The sequence below is a fragment of the Homo sapiens genome, chromosome 8, assembly GCF_000001405.40.
Source record: "Homo sapiens chromosome 8, GRCh38.p14 Primary Assembly".
NCBI lineage: Eukaryota > Metazoa > Chordata > Mammalia > Primates > Hominidae > Homo > Homo sapiens.
The window spans coordinates 119,957,385-119,975,075 of NC_000008.11; the positions used below are offsets into that span (position 1 = coordinate 119,957,385).

The following is a 17,691-nucleotide window of genomic DNA, read 5'->3' on the forward strand; positions in this document are numbered from 1 at the left end:
TTAGAAATGGTACATGGTCCAGATTTGTAGGAATTGCAGATTTCTTAGAGAAAGTGATATCTAAAACCAGAAAACTGAGGACGCTAGTTTTTCTTCCATTTTGTCCTCCAAGACAGCTTATTTGAGGGTCAAAAGAAATGAAGGAATGGTGGTATTTCTTGCCTGGGCATGCACATGGGTCCTTCTATTTTTTTTTTCTTTCTTTCTTTCTTTTTTTTTTTTCAGACAGAGTCTTGCTCTGTCGCCCAGGCTGGAGTGCAATGGTGCAATCTTGGCTCACTGCAACCTCCGCCTCCTGGGTTCAAGCGATGCTCCTGCCTCAGCCTCCCATGTAGCTGGAATTATAGGCACGCGCCACCATGCCCGGCTAATTTTTGTATTTTTAGTAAAGACAGGGTTTCACCATGTTGGCCAGGATGGTCTTGAACTCCTGACCTCAAGTGATTCGCCCACCTTGGCCTCCCAAAGTGCTGGGATTTTACAGGCGTGAGCCCCTGCTCCCGGCCTCTATTTTCTTTTCTAGATTCTTGTCATCATTCCATGTGGCTTTATTCTATTCAGTTTATTCCCTGGAACTTCAGTGTTCATCCATCATTCTGTTGTGACTTTCCGAGCTATGTAACATGCCTCAGTGTGTGTGGTTTCATGTATCTTTGCCACTGCTTATTCATACAAATGTGTTCCAGCTATCTATTCCTACAAAACAAGTCATACTAAGATTTAGCAGTCTAAAACAACAATGATGTGTTATTTCTTCTGATTACATGGTTTGCGTGGTGGTTACTCTATTGGTTTCATGTGGGCACATTCATCTGCTTGCTGAAGGGTCAGCTGGGCTGGAAGGTCCAGGATGCCCTCATTCACATGTCTGAGAGCTGGTGCTTGCTGTTGCTTGGACAACCTGGTCCTCCTCCTGTGGCCTCTTCCCCTCTAATAAGCTAGACCTGCCCCCTTTCATGGTGATTTCAGGAGGGCATTCCAAGGGGCAAAGGTGGAAGTTGTAAGGCCTCTTAAAGCCTCACCTTAGAAGTTGCATAATGTCACTTTCATTGCATCCTGTTGGTCAAAGCCAGTCACAAAGCTAGGCCAAGTTTATCACCTTAGAAGTTGCATAACGTGGCCGGGCATGGTGGCTCACACCTGTAATCCCAGCACTTTGGGAGGCCGAGGGTGAATCACTTGAGGTCAGGAGTTTGAGACCAGCCTGAACAACACGGTAAAATCCCATCTCTACTAAAAATACAAAAATTAGCCAGGTGTGGTGGCATGCACCTGTAATCCCAGCTGCTCAGGAGGCTGAGGCAGGGGAATAGCATGAACCCGGGAGGCAGAGGTTGCAGTGAGCCGAGATCACGTCACCGTACTCCAGCCTGGGTGACAGATCGAGACTCTATCTCAAAGAAAAAAAGAAAAAGAAGAAGAATAACCTCACTTTCACTGCATCCCGTTGGTCAGAGCAAGTCACAAAGCTAGCCCAAGTTCAAGGGAAATAGAAATGGACTCAGCATCTGGATGGGAGAAGCAATGAAGTCACACTGGAAGACACATGAGGAACTACTGTGTCCATCTTTGCATACAGTTTCCTAGAGAGTGTTTTTATGTTTCTGTCACTTGTGTTGACATACGTGTGACAGTTGTCCTTACCACCTTCTAAGAAGGGGTTGTCCATTATTATATTAAATAAAATTCATATCGCTTATACCAACTCTGCTGTTACTAACTTTGGGAAAGAAGCCTGTTGCCTGTTGGCTATTTCTTTTTCTTTCTTTCTTTCTTTTTTTTTTTTTTTTTTTTTTGAGACAGAATCTCGCTCTGTCACCCAGGCTGGAGGGAAGTGGCGCCATCTCGGCTCACTGCAAGCTCCGCCTCCCGGGCTCACGCCATTCTCCTGCCTCAGCCTCCTCAGCAGATGGGACTACAGGCGCCCACCACCACGCCCAGCTAATTTTTGTAAATTTAGTAGAGACAGGGTTTCACCGTGTTAGCCAGGATGGTCTCGATTTCCTGACCTTGTGATCCACCTGCCTCGGCCTCCCAAAGTGCTGGGATTACAGGCATGAGCCACTGCGCCCGGCCACCTGTTGGCTATTTCTAAGCATGGATTAAAGTGCAGAAGAGGTTTGATTTGGGAAAATATCTAAATAATCTTTTTTTTTTTTTGAAACGGAGTCTTGCTCTGTCACCCAGGCTGGAGTACAGTGGTGCGATCTCGGTTCACTGCAACCTCTGCCTGCCAGGTTCAAGTGATTCTCCTGCCTCAGCCTCCCACCACAGTAGCTGGGATTACAGGCATGCACCACCACACCCAACCAATTTTTGTATTTTTAGTAGAGATGGGGTTTCACTGTGTTGGCCAGGCTGGTCTTAAACTCATGACCTCAAGTAATCCACCCTCCTTGGCCTCAAAATGCTGGGATTACAGGTGTGAGCCTCTGTGCTTGGCCTCTAAATAAGATTTTTAAATGACTTCTGTTACATGCTGAATGAGAAGGTCTTTAATGAGTTCTATTAGATGCTTATACCTTGTATACTCTTATACTCTTAATAAGGGTGTACATTCATGGGCCAGGCGCAGTGGCTCACACCCGTAATCCCAGCACTTTGGGAGGCTGAGGTGGGCAGATCACGAGGTCAGAAGTTCGAGACCAGCCTAGCCAACATGGTGAAACCTCATTTCTACTAAAGATACAAAAATTAGACATGGTGGCACACGCCTGTAATCCCAGCAACTCAGGAGGCTGAGGCAGGAGAATTGCTTGAAGCTGCAAGGCAGAGGTTGCAGAGAGCCAAGATCATGCCACTGCACTCCAGCCTGGGTAACAGGGCAAGACTCCCTCTCAAAAAAAAAAACAAAAAACAAAAAACAAAAAAACAGTATACATTCATATACTTAGAACTTCACTTGCCCCCAAGATTTTTGATGATAACAACAATTTAGTGAAGGAAGTGGAACAGGTATTATCTTCCTCATTTAATATGAGTTTGGGAGACAGTGAGAAGGTACATGACTAGTTTGTAGCAGAGCTGTGTTTGGGTCCCAGGCACCTAATTTCTAATCCTGAGTCCCTTCCATGGATTTCAAATAGAACTCTAATCATTCTTCTAGGAAGAGAGAAGGGACCTTAAAGGAATCTCCATTTTCATCAGTTCATAGCTATGAAGGCAGAAATTCATCTTGCCCCAATGTAGGTACAATGATTACTTACATAGCATAACACTTTATGTACACTGTACATTATTTCTTATTACAAAGTTGTTTCATTCACACTCATGATTTTCACAAGAGCTGGGTAAGGATACCATTATAGTCTTGAGAAAAACAAGGTCGAATAAAAGAAAAGTGGCTCCCAGCACGTTGGAAGGCTGAGGCTGGCGGATCACCTGAGGTCAGGAGTTTAAGACCAGCCTGGCCAACATGATGAAACCCCGTCTCTACTAAAAATACAAAAATTAGCTGGGCTTGGTGGCACGTGCCTGTAATCCCAGCTACTTGGGAGGCTAAGGCAGGATAATTGCCTGAATCCGGGAGGCGGAGGTTGCACTGAGATTGCACCATTGCACTCCAGCCTGGGTGACAAGAGTGAAACTCCATCTCAAAAAAGAAAGAAAGAAAGAAAGAAAAGTGGCTTGCCTTACATCTCAAAGTTATTAAGTGACTCACTGGGATAAACTTAAATCTTTGAATGCATAGTCAAATGTTCTTTCTACCATTATATTCTTGAGAAAAACAAGGCTGAATAAAAGAAAAGTGGCTGGGCACAGTGGATCACGTCTGTAATCCCCGCCCTTTGGGAGGCTGAGGCGGGTGGATCACCTGAGGTTGGGAGTTCGAGACCAGCCTGATGAGCATGGAGAAACCCCGTCTCTATGAAAAACACAAAATTAGCCAGGTGTGGTGGTGCATGCCTGTTATCCCAGCTACTTGGGAGGCTGAGGCAGGAGAATCGCTTGAACCTGGGAGGTAGAGGTTGCGGTGAGCTGAGATTGCATCATTGCACTCCAGCCTGGGCAACAAGAGTGAAACTCCGTATCAAAAAAAAAAAAAAAAAGTGGCTTGCCTTACATCTCAAAGCTACTAAGTGACTCACTGGGATAAACTTAAATCTTTGAATTCCTTGTCCAGTGTTCTTTCTACAGCATGGTTGGGCTCTGAGTCTAAAAGCATTGAAAATAAACATCATATGGCATTCAGGTACAGGGCTTAATTACCTCCAAATGCAATGATTGATAGGTATAGAGTGAGTGTTTGCATGACCTTGAGCAAGTTTCCTTCCCACCACACTGAAAGCTGCAGTTCCATTTTTCTCATTTGAATGGGAACTACATTTTTCTCATGTGAATAAAGAGGGTTTGGACTACAATGATCTCCAAGGTTTCTTCCTACTCTAGAATGAAATAGTTCAATTTGTATTGTATATTATTATTAGTTTCAAAGGAAATGAAAGTTTTTAAAAGAGACAGCCAGACTTTCATATGGAAGACAGGAACTCATCAGGAATAATTTTACAGAGGAAGATGACACAATGACCGTGACATTTTATATGGTTCAATTTTTAATTTAACAAAGTTTTATGGGCCAGGTGTGGTAGCTCACCCCTGTAATCCCAGCACTTTGAGAGGCCAAGGCCAGCAGATCACTTGAGGTCAGGAGTTTGAGACCAGCATGGCCAACATGGTGAAAACCCATCTCTACTAAAAATACAAAAAAAAAAAAAAAAAAAAAGTAGCTGGACATGGTGGTGCATGCCTGTAGTTCCAGCTACTTGGGAGGCTGAGGCAGGAGAATCACCTGAACTTGGGAGGTGGAGGTTGCAGTGAGCTGAGATTGCACCACTGCACTCCAGCCTGGGTGACAGAGCAAGACTCTGTCTCAAACAAAACAAAACAAAAACAAAAAACCCCAAAGTTTTATGGACAAACATGGACTCAACCTTCTTGGAGCCTATAATTGACCTGTCTTTAATCTGATAATCACAGAAACTGTACAGGGAGCAATGAGATGGTCTAATTGAGACCTGACCATAACCGAGATGCAAAACAAGAAGTCAAGTAGGCATGGGAGGGTGTGGTGGGGAGAAGAGAGGGAGAGCATTCTAGCCATGGGGATGGCAAATTCAAAGGCCTGTGGTAGATGGGGCATGGTATGTTTGAGGAACTGAAAGAGGGCAGGATCACGCATACTTTATAGGCTATGTGAAGAATTTTGGTCTTTATCCTAAAAGCAATGAGAAGCTATTGAAGTGTATTTTCAACAGGGGAAGGACATTATCAGGTTTGAATTTTTAAAAGATAATTTAATAGCTATGTGTAGACTTAGGGGTCCAAGGTTGGGTTGAGAATAAGAGTGGATGCATAGTATAGTCAATTAAGAAAACACTGTAGTTGTCTAGGTTAAAGTATTGGTGTTTTAGACTAAGGTAGTGGCAGTGCCTGAGATGGGAAGGCTTAGACATACATGAGAGAGATTTAGGAGTTCAAGTTCACAGTTCATGCTGATGACTGGGCAGGGGGTGAGGAAGAGAGAGGGGCCAAGGACAATGCCTCATTTTCTGGCTGGACAATGTAAGCATTGACTGGCACAGGACCGGGTTTGGAAGGAAGAACGTGAGCTCAGTTTTGGGCTTGTTGATTTTGAGATGGCTTTGAGAAATCTATGTGGATGCAAAGCTGTAGGGTTGGGAGTATAGGCCTGGTCTGGGAATATAAATTTGGGAATCTGGAATGTGGATAGTAATCGAAGACAGGAAATGGAGGAGCTCACTAGAGAGACTATGGAATGAGAAAAGAGGTATGTAGGGACTGAATCTCAAGGAATTCCAGCCTTTAAAGTCCAGGGAGATGCAGATAAGCCAACACAAGGATGGCTGAGTAAGAGGTAGGAGCAGAGGGCAGGTCGAAAACCAATAGAGTGTGATTGATGTCCCCCTAGCCAAGGGCAGTGGTCAGTACCTTCTACTATTGGGTTTTGTTTTGTTTTTTTTTTTGAGACGGAGTCTCCCTCTGTCACTCAGGCTGGAGTGCAGTGGTGTGAACTCGGCTCACTGCAACCTCTGCCTCTGGGTCAAGCAACTCTCCTGCCTCAGCCTCCTGAGTAGCTGGTACTACAGGCATGTGCCAATGTGTCTGGCTAATTTTTTTGTATTTTTAATAGAGATGGGGTTTTGTCATGTTGCCCAGGCTAATCTCAAACCCCTGACCTCAAGTGATCCACCAGCCTCAGCTTCCCAAGGTGCTGGGACTACAGGTGTGAGCTACCAATCCTGGACCCATATACTGGTATTAAAGTCAACCAGAATAAGGACTGACATTTGTGTTACATTGCATCATATATGGATGCATAGGGGAACACTTATAGGCCCAGTTGGAGCTATTTTGGAGATGTGAAAATGGAATCCAGAGGAGTTGAGGAATGCCTGGGAAGACAGGTGTGAGAAGCAAGCTATGTGGGTATGGGAGGATTTCAAAAGAGTCACCTATGTAGTCGTCTTAGTTCAGGCTACTGTAACAAAATATACCATAGGCTGAGTAGCTTAAACAACAAACATTTGTTTGGGAGGTCCAAGATCAAGGTGCCAGCAGATCCAGTGACACCTGCTTCTTGGTTTGCAGGTGGCTGCTTCTTGGTTTGATCCTGCTTCTTGGTTTGCAGATGGCTGTCTTCTGGCTATGTTCTCACGTGGCAAGAGCAGAGAGAGAGAAAGAGAGCAAGCTCCCTTTTGTCTGTTTTGATAAGGGCACTAATGCCACCACGATGGCTCCAGCCTTGTAACCTAACTACCTCCCAAATGTGCCACCTGCAAATGTCATCACATTAGCGACTAGAGATTCACCATATGTAATTAGCACGGACCGCTGGGCACGGTGGCTCACGCTGGTAATCTTGGCACTTTGGGAGGCCAAGATGGGCGGATCACGAGGTCAGGAGTTCGAGACCAGCCTGGACAATATGGTGAAACCCCGTCTCTACTAAAAATACAAAAATTAGCCGGGTGTAGTGGCATGTGCCTGTAATCCCAGCTACTCTGGAGGCCAAGGCAGGAGAATCGCTTGAACCCAGGAGGTGGAGGTTGCAGTGAGCCAAGGTCGCACCATTGCACTCCAGCCTGGGCAACAAGAGTGAAAGCCCGTCTCAAAAAAAAAAAAAAAAAAAAAAAAAAAAAAAAATTAGTGAGGACACACTCAGTTCACAGCACTTGTCTTCTTAGCACAGAAGTGAAATAATGCAATTAGGAAAGAAATACTAGCTTTTTCAGAATGGTAGAATAGAACATGAAATTGTAACCTCTTTTCAAGATTGCTAACTTGAATACAGTCTGCTAATCGTAGAGTTTTGGATTGCATTTCCAATTTTTTTTTTGAAATTACTAGGAGAAAATGCATCTTGTTTGCTTCTGAAGCAATTAGAAATTACATGTGTGGTAGGCTGGGCTTGTAATCCCAGCACTTTGGGAGGCCGAGACGGGTGGATCACCTGAGGTTGGGAGTTCAAGACCAGCCTGACCAACATGGAGAAAACCTGTCGCTACTAAAAATACAAAATTAGCTGGGTGTGGTGACACATGCCTGTAATCCCAGCTATTCGGGAGATCAAGGTAGAAGAATTGCTTGAACCCAGGAGGCGGAGGTTGCAGTGAGCCAAGATCACGCCATTGCACTCCAGCCTGGGCAACAAGAGCGAAAATCTGTCTCAAAGAAAGAAAAAAGAAATTACATGTGTGGTGGCACCTGACAGCTGCATCTGTCTGTCTGACAACTTTGCTGTAGTACTTCATGGAAATCTATGATTTCAAATGAGCTGTTTTCCTTTCGTATAGGTTTACTTTTCTTTTCCCTTTTTTTCTTCCCAGGCTGATGAGCCCTGAAAACACACTCCTGCAGCCCAGGGAGGAGGAAGGGGTCAAGTATGAGCGCACCTTCATGGCATCTGAATTCCTGGACTGGCTGGTTCAGGAAGGTGAGGCCACCACGAGGAAAGAGGCAGAGCAGCTTTGCCACCGGCTTATGGAGCATGGCATCATCCAGCATGGTGAGCGTATTGGGCAGCTTTTGCTGCAGGAACAAACAGCCAGCCCCAAATCTTGTGTCTTACAACAACACGTACTTATTTCTCACTCATGAATCTGTAAGTCAGCTGCACCTCTGCTTATGTTCAGCTTGTCTCCAAGTTGGGGGTCAAATTCAGGTCTGTGCTCCACGCCTTTCCATTCTGGGACACAGACTAAAGGAATATCCACTGTCTGTGATGTGTTGTTTTTAATAAATTATTGCAGATGCTAAAGAGGGCAGGCAGGTTCTTATAGCGCTTCCAAAAGTTGCTGCTTGGATGTGATGTAACATCACAACTTTGTATCTAACTGGCTAAAGCAAGTCATGAAGTCAAGTATAATATGGAGTTGGGAAGTGGATGCCTCCCAGAAGGTTGGTTGTTAGAGAATAAACATTTCCTGAACCATGATGTAAGCTGCCACAGTGAAGAGTTAAGCCAAAGAGCCTTCATAAAAGTATCACTTTCCGTTTAGGGCCAAATCATAATGATGCAATGTAAGTTACTGGTTAAGAAGTGTTTTAGTCAGCCCTTTGTATCTGTGGGTTCTGCATCTGTGTATTTAACCAACCATGAATTTAAAATCTTTGGAAAAAAGTCGTGTCTGAACTACACACACACAGACATTTTTTCATCATTATTCCCTAAACAGTACAATGTAACAACTACTTACAGAGTGTTTACATTGTATCGGGTATTTTACATTGTATCTGACCTACGTTGGTTAACTGTAGGTCATGAGACTCCCATTCCAAGTCCGGCACGGTGGCTCACACTTGTCATCCCAGCACTTTGGGAGGCTGAGGTGGGTGGATCACCTGAGGTGAGGAGTTCAAGACCAGCCTGGCCAACATGGTGAAACCCCATCTCTACTAAAAAATACAAAAATTAGCTGGGTGTTGTGGTGCACGTCTGTAATCCCGGCTACTCAGGAAGTAATCTAGAGATGATTTGAAGTATACAAAAGGATGTGCGTAGGTTATACATGTAAGGGCCAAGAGAACACTTTCCCCTTTGCCCTCTGAAGGTTTGCTGAAAATCACTGACAAGAGGCAGATTTGTTTTGTTTTGTTTAAGGCAGAGTCTCCTTCCGTCACCCAGGCTGGACTGCAAAGGCACCATCTCAGCTCACTGCAACCTCCGCCTCCCAGGTTCAAGTGATTCTCATGCCTCAGCCTCCTGAGTAGCTGGAATTACAGTGGGATTACAGGTGCACTAATTTTTGTATTTTTAGGGGAGGGATTTGCCATGTTGGCCAGGCTGGCCTCTAACTACTGGCCTCAAGTGATCCACCCACCTTGGCCTCCCGAAGAACTGGGATTACAGGCGTGAACAACCATGCCGGGCCCAAGAGGCAGATTAATAGGAGAAAAGGCATACAAATTTATTAACATGTATGGCAGCCTTCAGAATGAAAAGCCAGAGATACAGGGAAAATCATCCATTGTTATGCTTATGTTCAACAAAGTATGGACAGTTATGTAGAAATATGATTGGACAAAAAGGGTATGATCTAAAGTTAATAGACTGAGTAGAGCAGCCCAACAAGGCCTGTCTGTATAGATTCTTTTTGGCCTCTCTGCAGCATTCATTCCTCCTGGGTGTAGGGCAGGACCCTTTCTGGAATGGGAGTCTTTTTTGTTTTGTTTTGTTTTGTTTTGTTTTTTTGAGATTGAGTCTCTCTTTGTCACCCAGGCTGGAGTGCAGTAGCATGATCTTGGCTCACTGCAACTTCCGCCTCCCAGGTTCAGGTGATGCTTCTACCTTAGCCTTCCGAGTTGCTGAGATTACAGACGTGCACCACAACACCCAGATAATTTTTGTATTTTTTAGTAGAGATGGGGTTTCACCATGTTGGCCAGGCTGGTCTTACAGTCTTCACCTCAGGTGATCCATCTGCCTCAGCCTTCCAAAGTGCTGGGATTACAAGTGTGAGCCACCATGCCCGGCTTGGAATGGGAGTCTTATGACCTACAGTTAACCAACGTAGGTCAGATAATTTCTTTATGGCCTGTTTTTACACAGAAAGGCAGAGGGAAAGTTAGAGTAATATTTTAAGATTTTATGTAATCCCAGCACTTTGGGAGGCTGAGGCTGGTGGATCACCTGAGGTCAGGAGTTCGAAACCAGCCTGGCCAACATGGTGAAACCCCATCTCTACTAAAAATACAAAACATTAGCTGGGTGTGGTGGTGTGTGCCTGTAGTCTCAGCTACTCAGGAGGCTGAGGCAAGAGAATCGCTTGAACCCTGGAGGTGGAGGTTGCAGTGAGCCAAGATTGTGCCACTGCATTCCAACCTGGGTGGCAGAGCAAGACTTCGTCCCAAAAAAAAAAAAAAAAAAGAGTAAGTATTGTTTTACAGTACTTTTATTTCATTTAGATATACACTATAAAACATAGGGACATATGCAGGTGTATATTGAGTTACAACCTAAAAATTATTTGTTACTGTGTATTGGAGTCAAATATTTTGGAAGCCATGGATCTAGAGGCATTGCTTGGAGTGAGTGACACTGTATTCCAGGCTGCTTTCTCCTGTGCAGTTCTGCCACAGTTGGACTCACAGCTGTCTGTTGGTGGCCTAACATGTCTAGCTCTGGTTTAAGTTCACTGAGGAAAGGAAGATGGACAGGGAAGCACAGTGCTGGTGTGATCCCTGACCTTAAGCAGTTCATAGTATTGTCAGGACTATGAGATGGTTATAGAAGCAATTAGAGAACAGTAGAAGATGTGCTATCTATTTCATTTATTTATTTATTTTATACTATATGCCAGGCACTGTGCTAATCCTTTTACCCTTATTAACTTATTAATAAATAAACTCTATGAGGTAGATATTCTTTTTTTAAAAAATGTATTGTGATAAGAACATTAATATGAGAGCTACCTTCTTTTATTATTATTATTTTTTTTTTGGGACAGTTACTGCTCTGATCATGCAGGGGCAGATCTCGGCTCACTGCCACCTCCACTTCCCAGGTTCAAGGGATTCTCCTGCCTCAGCCTCCCGAGTAGCTGTGCACCACCACACTCAGCTGATTTTTGTATTTTTAGTAGAAACAGGATTTCACCATGTTGGCCAGGTGGGTCTTGAACTTCTGACCTCAAGTGATGCGCCTGCCCCGGTCTCCCAAAGTACTGGGATTACAGGCGTAAGCCACCATGCCTGGCCTGAGAGCTCCCTTCTTAACAAATGTTTAGATGTACAATACTATAGGGCCAGTATTTTTATTATCTCCATTTTACAAATCAGAAGGTGAAGGCACCAATAGGATAAATCACTTGTCTGAGGCCACTCAGGTAGTAATGTCCAAATGGATATTACTGCTAGTAAGTGTGACCTTGGAGTTGGGTGGGATGACTGGGGTTTTCCCCAGTGAAAAATGGTAGGTTTGGGTTACAGTTGGTTCTTTCATATCTTTGCTCTACAGAGAAAAAGTAAGATGAGGCTGGGCATGGTGGCTCAGCGAGCTGGCCAACATTGTGAAACCCCGTCTCTACTATAAAAACAAAAATTAGCCGGGAGTCATGGTGGATGCCTGTAATCCCAGCTACTTGGGAGGCTGAGGCAGTAAGAATCGCTTGAACCCTGGAGGTGGAGGTTGCAGTAAGCCAAGATCACGCCACTACACTCCAGCCTGGGCGACACAGCAAGACTCCATCTCAAAAAAAAAAAAGTCAGATGATACCAACTTCTAGGAGAAAACCAGCCTCTTATACTATGATGTACTGACCCACACTGTATATCCTTGGCTTTAGAAAGAAGATAGAGGATGCTGTGAATGGTTTCTAAATGATTTCCAAGGGATAAGTAATTATGCTTCAATTACAGTGTAACTCTGTAATGCTATAAACAGAAACACCATAAAGGTACAATGTAAAGGATAAAACAAATGCATTTTTGATAATAAATCTGTTTTGTTTTTTTTTGTTTTTTTTTTTGAGATGGAGTTTTGCTCTTGTTGCCCAGGCTGGAGTGCAATGGTGCGATCTTGGCTCACTGCAACCTCCACCTCCCAGGTTCAAGCAATTCTCTTGCCTCAGCCTCCCGAGTAGCTGGGATTACAGGCATGTGCCACCATGCTTGGCTAATTTTTTGTATTTTTAGTAGACAGAGGGTTTCACCATGTCAGTCAGGCAGGTCTCGAACTCCTGACCTCAGGTGATCCACCCACCTTGGCCTCCCAAAGTGCTGGGATTACAGGCGTGAGCCATCGTGCCTGGCCGATAATAAATCTTAACCACCGAAGTATGCTTCCCGTGATTGTAGGAGTACTGAATATTCTACATAGCAACTGGGGTTTCTGAGGGAGTTTCAGTTTCCCAGCACAGTAATTCATTGATAGGTCACAGGTTGTAACTTGGAGTTATGAAAATATGGCTACCATACCTGTGTATGTTAGAGCTCATGGTAAGTACCAGTTAGTGTCTTGAGCAAAGCTTTTAATTGTCTGGCTAATAATTAATTTCATAGGTTAAACATTAAGGAAAGTCAGCCTTTAGGCTTTGAGCAGAAGGTTTCTGGATAAAAGTGGTTCCCTATTTTGAAACCAGTAAGTGTAAAAATCAGGCTTACCTGTGAAATCCTAACTAGCTTCATCTATGAATGGTGACTGGTGCGCTTTACTCAAGGCAGAAATTGTTAGATGAATAATTAACATGCATGTGTATTTATGTGGATATATATATATGCATGTATATGTACATATTTATACAAATGTCTGTATGTTGACCACATCTATACATATTTGTCTAGCTTTTTAATTTATAGATGTGTACCATCTATAAAGGCATTAGGCTACTTTATAGATCTTAATATACTGTATATTTAATATGTGTGTGCTTCACACATATGCTTTGTATGTTGTACTTATTAAATCCTCACAGCAATTTTGTGGCATTAGTATTATTATTGCAGATTTACAGTGAAGAAATCTGGTCTTCAAATCCTTTAACAGATTTTTCTCAAGTTCCAGAGCTACCCTGTAGCTACTAGGTGTTGTGTCTTAGAAAGAAGCTTGCCTTGGTCTGGGATGTGACTGGGTATGGCTGCCTGGCATGATGGAATGAGCACAGTCTTCGGAAGGAGACAGACTGGATTTAGATGCGGCTTTTTCACCTACTAAGTGGCCACGTCTGCATCTTATAACTTTCCCATTCCTCGGATTTTGAAACTATAAAATTAGAGTTACATAATAGACCTTTGAGAGTTTGTTTTTTCAGAGACCTATGAACATCCACAAGTTCAGTGTGTACTAGAAGGGTTCAACGTGTAGTTGTGTTCGTGGCTAAGATTTATTACAGTGAAAGGATACACAGCAGGGTCAGCAAGAGAAAAGGGCACATCGGGTGGAGTGTGGAGAAATCCAGGCACAGTTTCCTATGTTCTTCCTTCTTGAAGGGACTCCCTTCTCTAGCCGTGAAATGCAGTAACACGTGTGCAATATCTCCACCGGGGAGCCCTCGGAGGGGCCAAGGGAAAACATCCCCTTTGCCATCTGAAGGTTGGCTGAAAAATCGGCCGGGCACAGTGGCTCACACCCGTAATCCCAGCATTCTGGGAGGCCAAGGCGGGCGGATCACAAGGTCGGGAGATCGAGACCATCCTGGCTAACACGGTGAAACCCCGTCTCTGCTAAAAATACAAAAAAACTTAGCCGGGCATGGTGGCAGGCGCTTTGCAGTCCCAGCTACTCGGGAGGCTGAGGCAGGATGATGGTGTGAACCTGGGAAGCGGAGCTTGTAGTGAGCGAAGATTGCGCCACCGCTCCAGCCTGGGCAACAGAGCGAGACTCCGTCTCAAAAAAAAAAAAAAAAAAAGAAGGTTGGCTGAAAAATCAACTCACAAAAGACAGATTAATTGGAGAAAAAGCAAACCAATTTATTAGTGTGTACACCAGGAGAACCAGAGTGATTACCTAATATTCCAATGGGGTACAGAGGCTACCTATCCTACTTCTTAGAGGAACGGGAGATGAGGAAGTGTGATTGATTTTTAGGAGGCTTCAGTAGGCTTGAAGAATATACAAGGGCCTGCTACTAAGTCCATTGGGTCAGCAGAGCAGACCTGGCAAAAGTCTGACCAGGTTTGTCCACAGACTTCAGTCTTTCTTCCTGTCATATGAGTTCAGTTAATGAAAACTCAGGGAAGGAACCAGAGGTAAATTGTTTTCTTCTTTGGCAGGTCCAGACTTAGGCAGGTAAGGAACTTCAGAGACCTTTATCCAGTGCTTTGGGGGACACAGAGGATTGAGGGGCAGAAGCGGGGAGAAGGTCGGAGACATCGTAGATTTTTCTTCAGTTCAGCATATCAAAGTGCTATATTTTGGGGTGTCTGTTTCTGAGTCCTAATACCCATGTTGAGGTGCAGAGCCAAAGATTCTTACTGGGGGCTTTTCTCATAGGTATACTCTGCTTGCTCAGCCAGCCACAACCAGCAACATTGCAGACTCTCAGAAGGAAAGCAAGTATTCTCCATAAATCACACTGTTTGTACAGTCTAGGCAGGCCGATACAACACAATTCAGTGCACCAGGTGGGCAAGGTCCTTATCAGTTAGTGACTTGGGAACCTTCCAAAAGCCAAGTTCCCAGGTGCTAGCCATGGGCCAGCCCCATAAGCCGGCCCTTCCGTATTGGGGCTGCTATGGTAACTCTTTCCTGCACAGAATTGTTGGGAGAATTAAGTGATTGCACTTGGCAAAAGCTTTTAACACAGCATCTACCTCTTATGGCCCTCAAATGCTAGCTCTTGTACATGATCTGATCTACTCTAAATAATAGGTGAAATGTATAGAGCTCTTACTATATCCCAGCCACTGTTCTAACAACTCTATTCACGTATGTATTTCCCTGTCAGTTAGGTATCATAATCATTCTCATTTTTGAGATGAGGTTAAGTAACATGCTGAAGGCTGGGCATTGTGGCTCAGGCCTGTAATCCCAGCACTTTGGGAGGCTGAGGCAGACGGATCACTTGAGGTCAGGAGTTCAAGACCTGCTTAAGCAACATAGTGAAACTCTGTCTCTACCAAAAATACAAAAATTAGCCAGGTGTGGTAGCATGTGCCGGTAGTCCCAGCTACTTGGGAGGCTGAGGCAGGAAAATTGCTGGAACCAAGGAGGCAGAGGTTGCAGTGAGCCGAGATCATGCCACTGCACTCCAGCCTTTGTGACAGAGTAAGACTCTGTCTCAAAAAAAAAAAAAAAAAAAAAAAGTAATGTGCTGAAGATGAGAGCTAGTGAGTGGTAGATTCAAGATTCAAATCAAGACAGTCTAGCTTCAGAGCCTGCACTCTTAACCGCTAAAGAAGATGAGATGCTAACTGCAGGCCCCACTAGAAAAAAATTCTCAAGTTCTATTGCATCAGCTGAATCAGCCGACATAGCCTGGCAGATATTTATACTATAAAGATTATTAACCTCTGAAATCTACAATATTCTCTTCCTCCAAACAATGACCAGGGACCTTGAGATTTTTGGGTAACATTTGCAAATGGGAAATGGGATAAATACCTTTTTTTTTTTTGAGACGGAGTTTCGCTCTTGTTGCCCAGGCTGGAGTGCAATGGTGTGATCTTGGCTTACCACAACCTTCGCCTCCCAGGTTCAAGCAATTCTCCTGCCTCAGCCTCCTGAGTAGCTGGGATTACAGGCATGAGCCACCACACCCGGCTAATTTTGTATTTTTAGTAGAGACAGTGTTTCTCCATGTTGGTCAGGCTGCTCTCGAACTCCCGACCTCAGGTGATCTGCCCACCTCAGCCTCCCAAAGTGTTGAGATTACAGGCATGAGCCACTGCACCTGGACTCTTTTCTTTTTTTGAAACAGGTTTTTGCTCTGTTGACCAGGCTGGAGTGCAATGACATGATCATGGCTCACTGCAGCCTTGACCTCCCAGGCTAAAGCAGTCCTCCCACCTCAGCTCCTGAGTAGCCAGGACTACAAGTGCTCACCACCACACCCGGCTAATTTTTTAATTTTTCATAGAGACGGGGGTTGTTGCCAAGTTGCCCAGGTTGGTCTTGAACTTCTGGGCTCAAGCGATCCTCCAGCCTTGGCCTCCCAAAGTGCCAGGATTACAGGTGTGAGCCACTGCAAAGGGCCCGAACACACTTCTTTACTCACATAAGTTATCTTTCCCAACTCCCTTAGTTGCCATCCAGCTATTTTAGCAGCCTTAAATGGAGGGAGATGGAAACCAGATAATCATGTGGGTAAATTGCTCACAGCTGCAGCAGCTGACCCTGGCCTACCAGGCTACCGCTGCTGTGTCTGCGTGGATAATTTCCTGTTTTAGAACTTTAGTCAGAGCACTTCAACAATTTCAACACTAAGCCCTCTTTCTTTTTCTTTTGTTTTAAACATATATTTATATCATACTGTGCCATATACAAAGCAGTTTTACATACATTATCTTTTTAATCCTCCCAGTTGCTTGAGAGTAGCTATGATTATCTCATCCTTCAGTGGAAGACAGTAGCAGAGACATTTGCTCTGCTGGCCATGAAGAGAGAATTTGGGATCTGCAGCAAAGGAAGCTAGAGGCCACATCCAGACAGAAATTAACTGCATCTCTCCAATAATTAAGATAATTGATAGAGATCAGCCTAAGCCTGGAATAGCCCAGCTGGAAAGGAAAGGGGAAAAAGGGGAAGAGGAGAGGGAAGGAAGGAAAAGAAGGTACTAACTGGGTGTGGTGGCTCATGCCTGTAATCTCAGCACTTTGGGAAGCTGAGTGGGGAGGATTGCTTGAGGACAGGAGTTCGGGACCAGCCTGGGAAACATAGTGAGATCTTGTCTCTTTAAAAAAAAAAAAAAAAAAAAAAAAAAAAGAGAAAGAAGGTACTGATGATTGAGGCTAAAGGCAAGATTACACCGAGGAGGAAAAATAATTTTTTCTTTACTTTTCATGAGTTCTTAATTGAGACCTGCTGTAACAAAGGACGGACTAACAAGAGAAAAATGAACAGAAGTTTAATATGTATGCCCTCTGTAAATATGGGTGAAAATCCAGAGAAATGAGTAAATCTCTAGGATAGATCTCAAAAGAGTAGTTCAGGCCAGGCGTGGTGGCTCACACCTGTAATCCCAGCACTTTGGGAGGCTGAGGCGAGAGAATCACTTGAGGCCAAGAGTTCTAGACTAGCCTGGCTGACATGGTGAAACCCCGTCTCTACTAAAAGTACAAAAATTAGGCAGGCTTGATGGTGTGTGCCTGTAATCCCAGTTACTTGGGAGGTTGAGGCACAAGAATTGCTTGAGCTCAGCAGGCAGAGGTTGCAGTGAGCTGAGATCGTGCCACTGCACTCCAGCCTGGGCGACAGAGCAAGACTCTGCCTCAAAAAAAAAAGGTGGGGGGGTGGGTAGTTCAGACTTCAGGCTTAAATACCATTATTCCCTGAAACAAAGAAAAAAAGATGTAACCCAGTTAAAACCAGAGGGTCAGAAAAAGACCTTATACAAATGTATGGTTTGTTATGCAGACTTAGGTCAACACCTTCTTTATTTATTACGAGTCTCTAGTGACTTAATTTTCTTTCTGTTCCTGGTGCAGAGAGGGAGAGACCTTTACAGAGGGGCATTTCCTAGCTCTGCATGGTGGCTCACACTTGTAATCCTAACACTTTTAGAGGCCAAGGCGGGA

At 44.3% G+C, this 17,691-nt stretch overlaps 1 protein-coding gene across 2 annotated transcripts in view, besides 1 other annotated feature; it reads left to right on the top strand.

The window, feature by feature from the left end:
• DEPTOR (DEP domain containing MTOR interacting protein) overlaps window positions 1–17,691 on the top strand; it is a 177,197-nt gene that overhangs the window by 83,663 nt on the left and 75,843 nt on the right. For both annotated transcript variants that reach the window (NM_022783.4, NM_001283012.2), the window contains one exon: window positions 7,848–8,026. In NM_022783.4, coding sequence (NP_073620.2) covers window positions 7,848–8,026 — 179 coding nt within the window. The remainder of the gene's footprint in view (window positions 1–7,847; window positions 8,027–17,691) is intronic.
• Window positions 13,447–13,627: a silencer, noted in NCBI's record as "fragment chr8:120983071-120983251 (GRCh37/hg19 assembly coordinates)". NCBI's record gives its function as "represses an EF-1alpha promoter that drives an FKBP-Casp9 reporter gene in an ReSE screen in HepG2 liver carcinoma cells {active_cell/tissue: HepG2}" and the evidence as "EXISTENCE:reporter gene assay evidence [ECO:0000049][PMID:32094911]".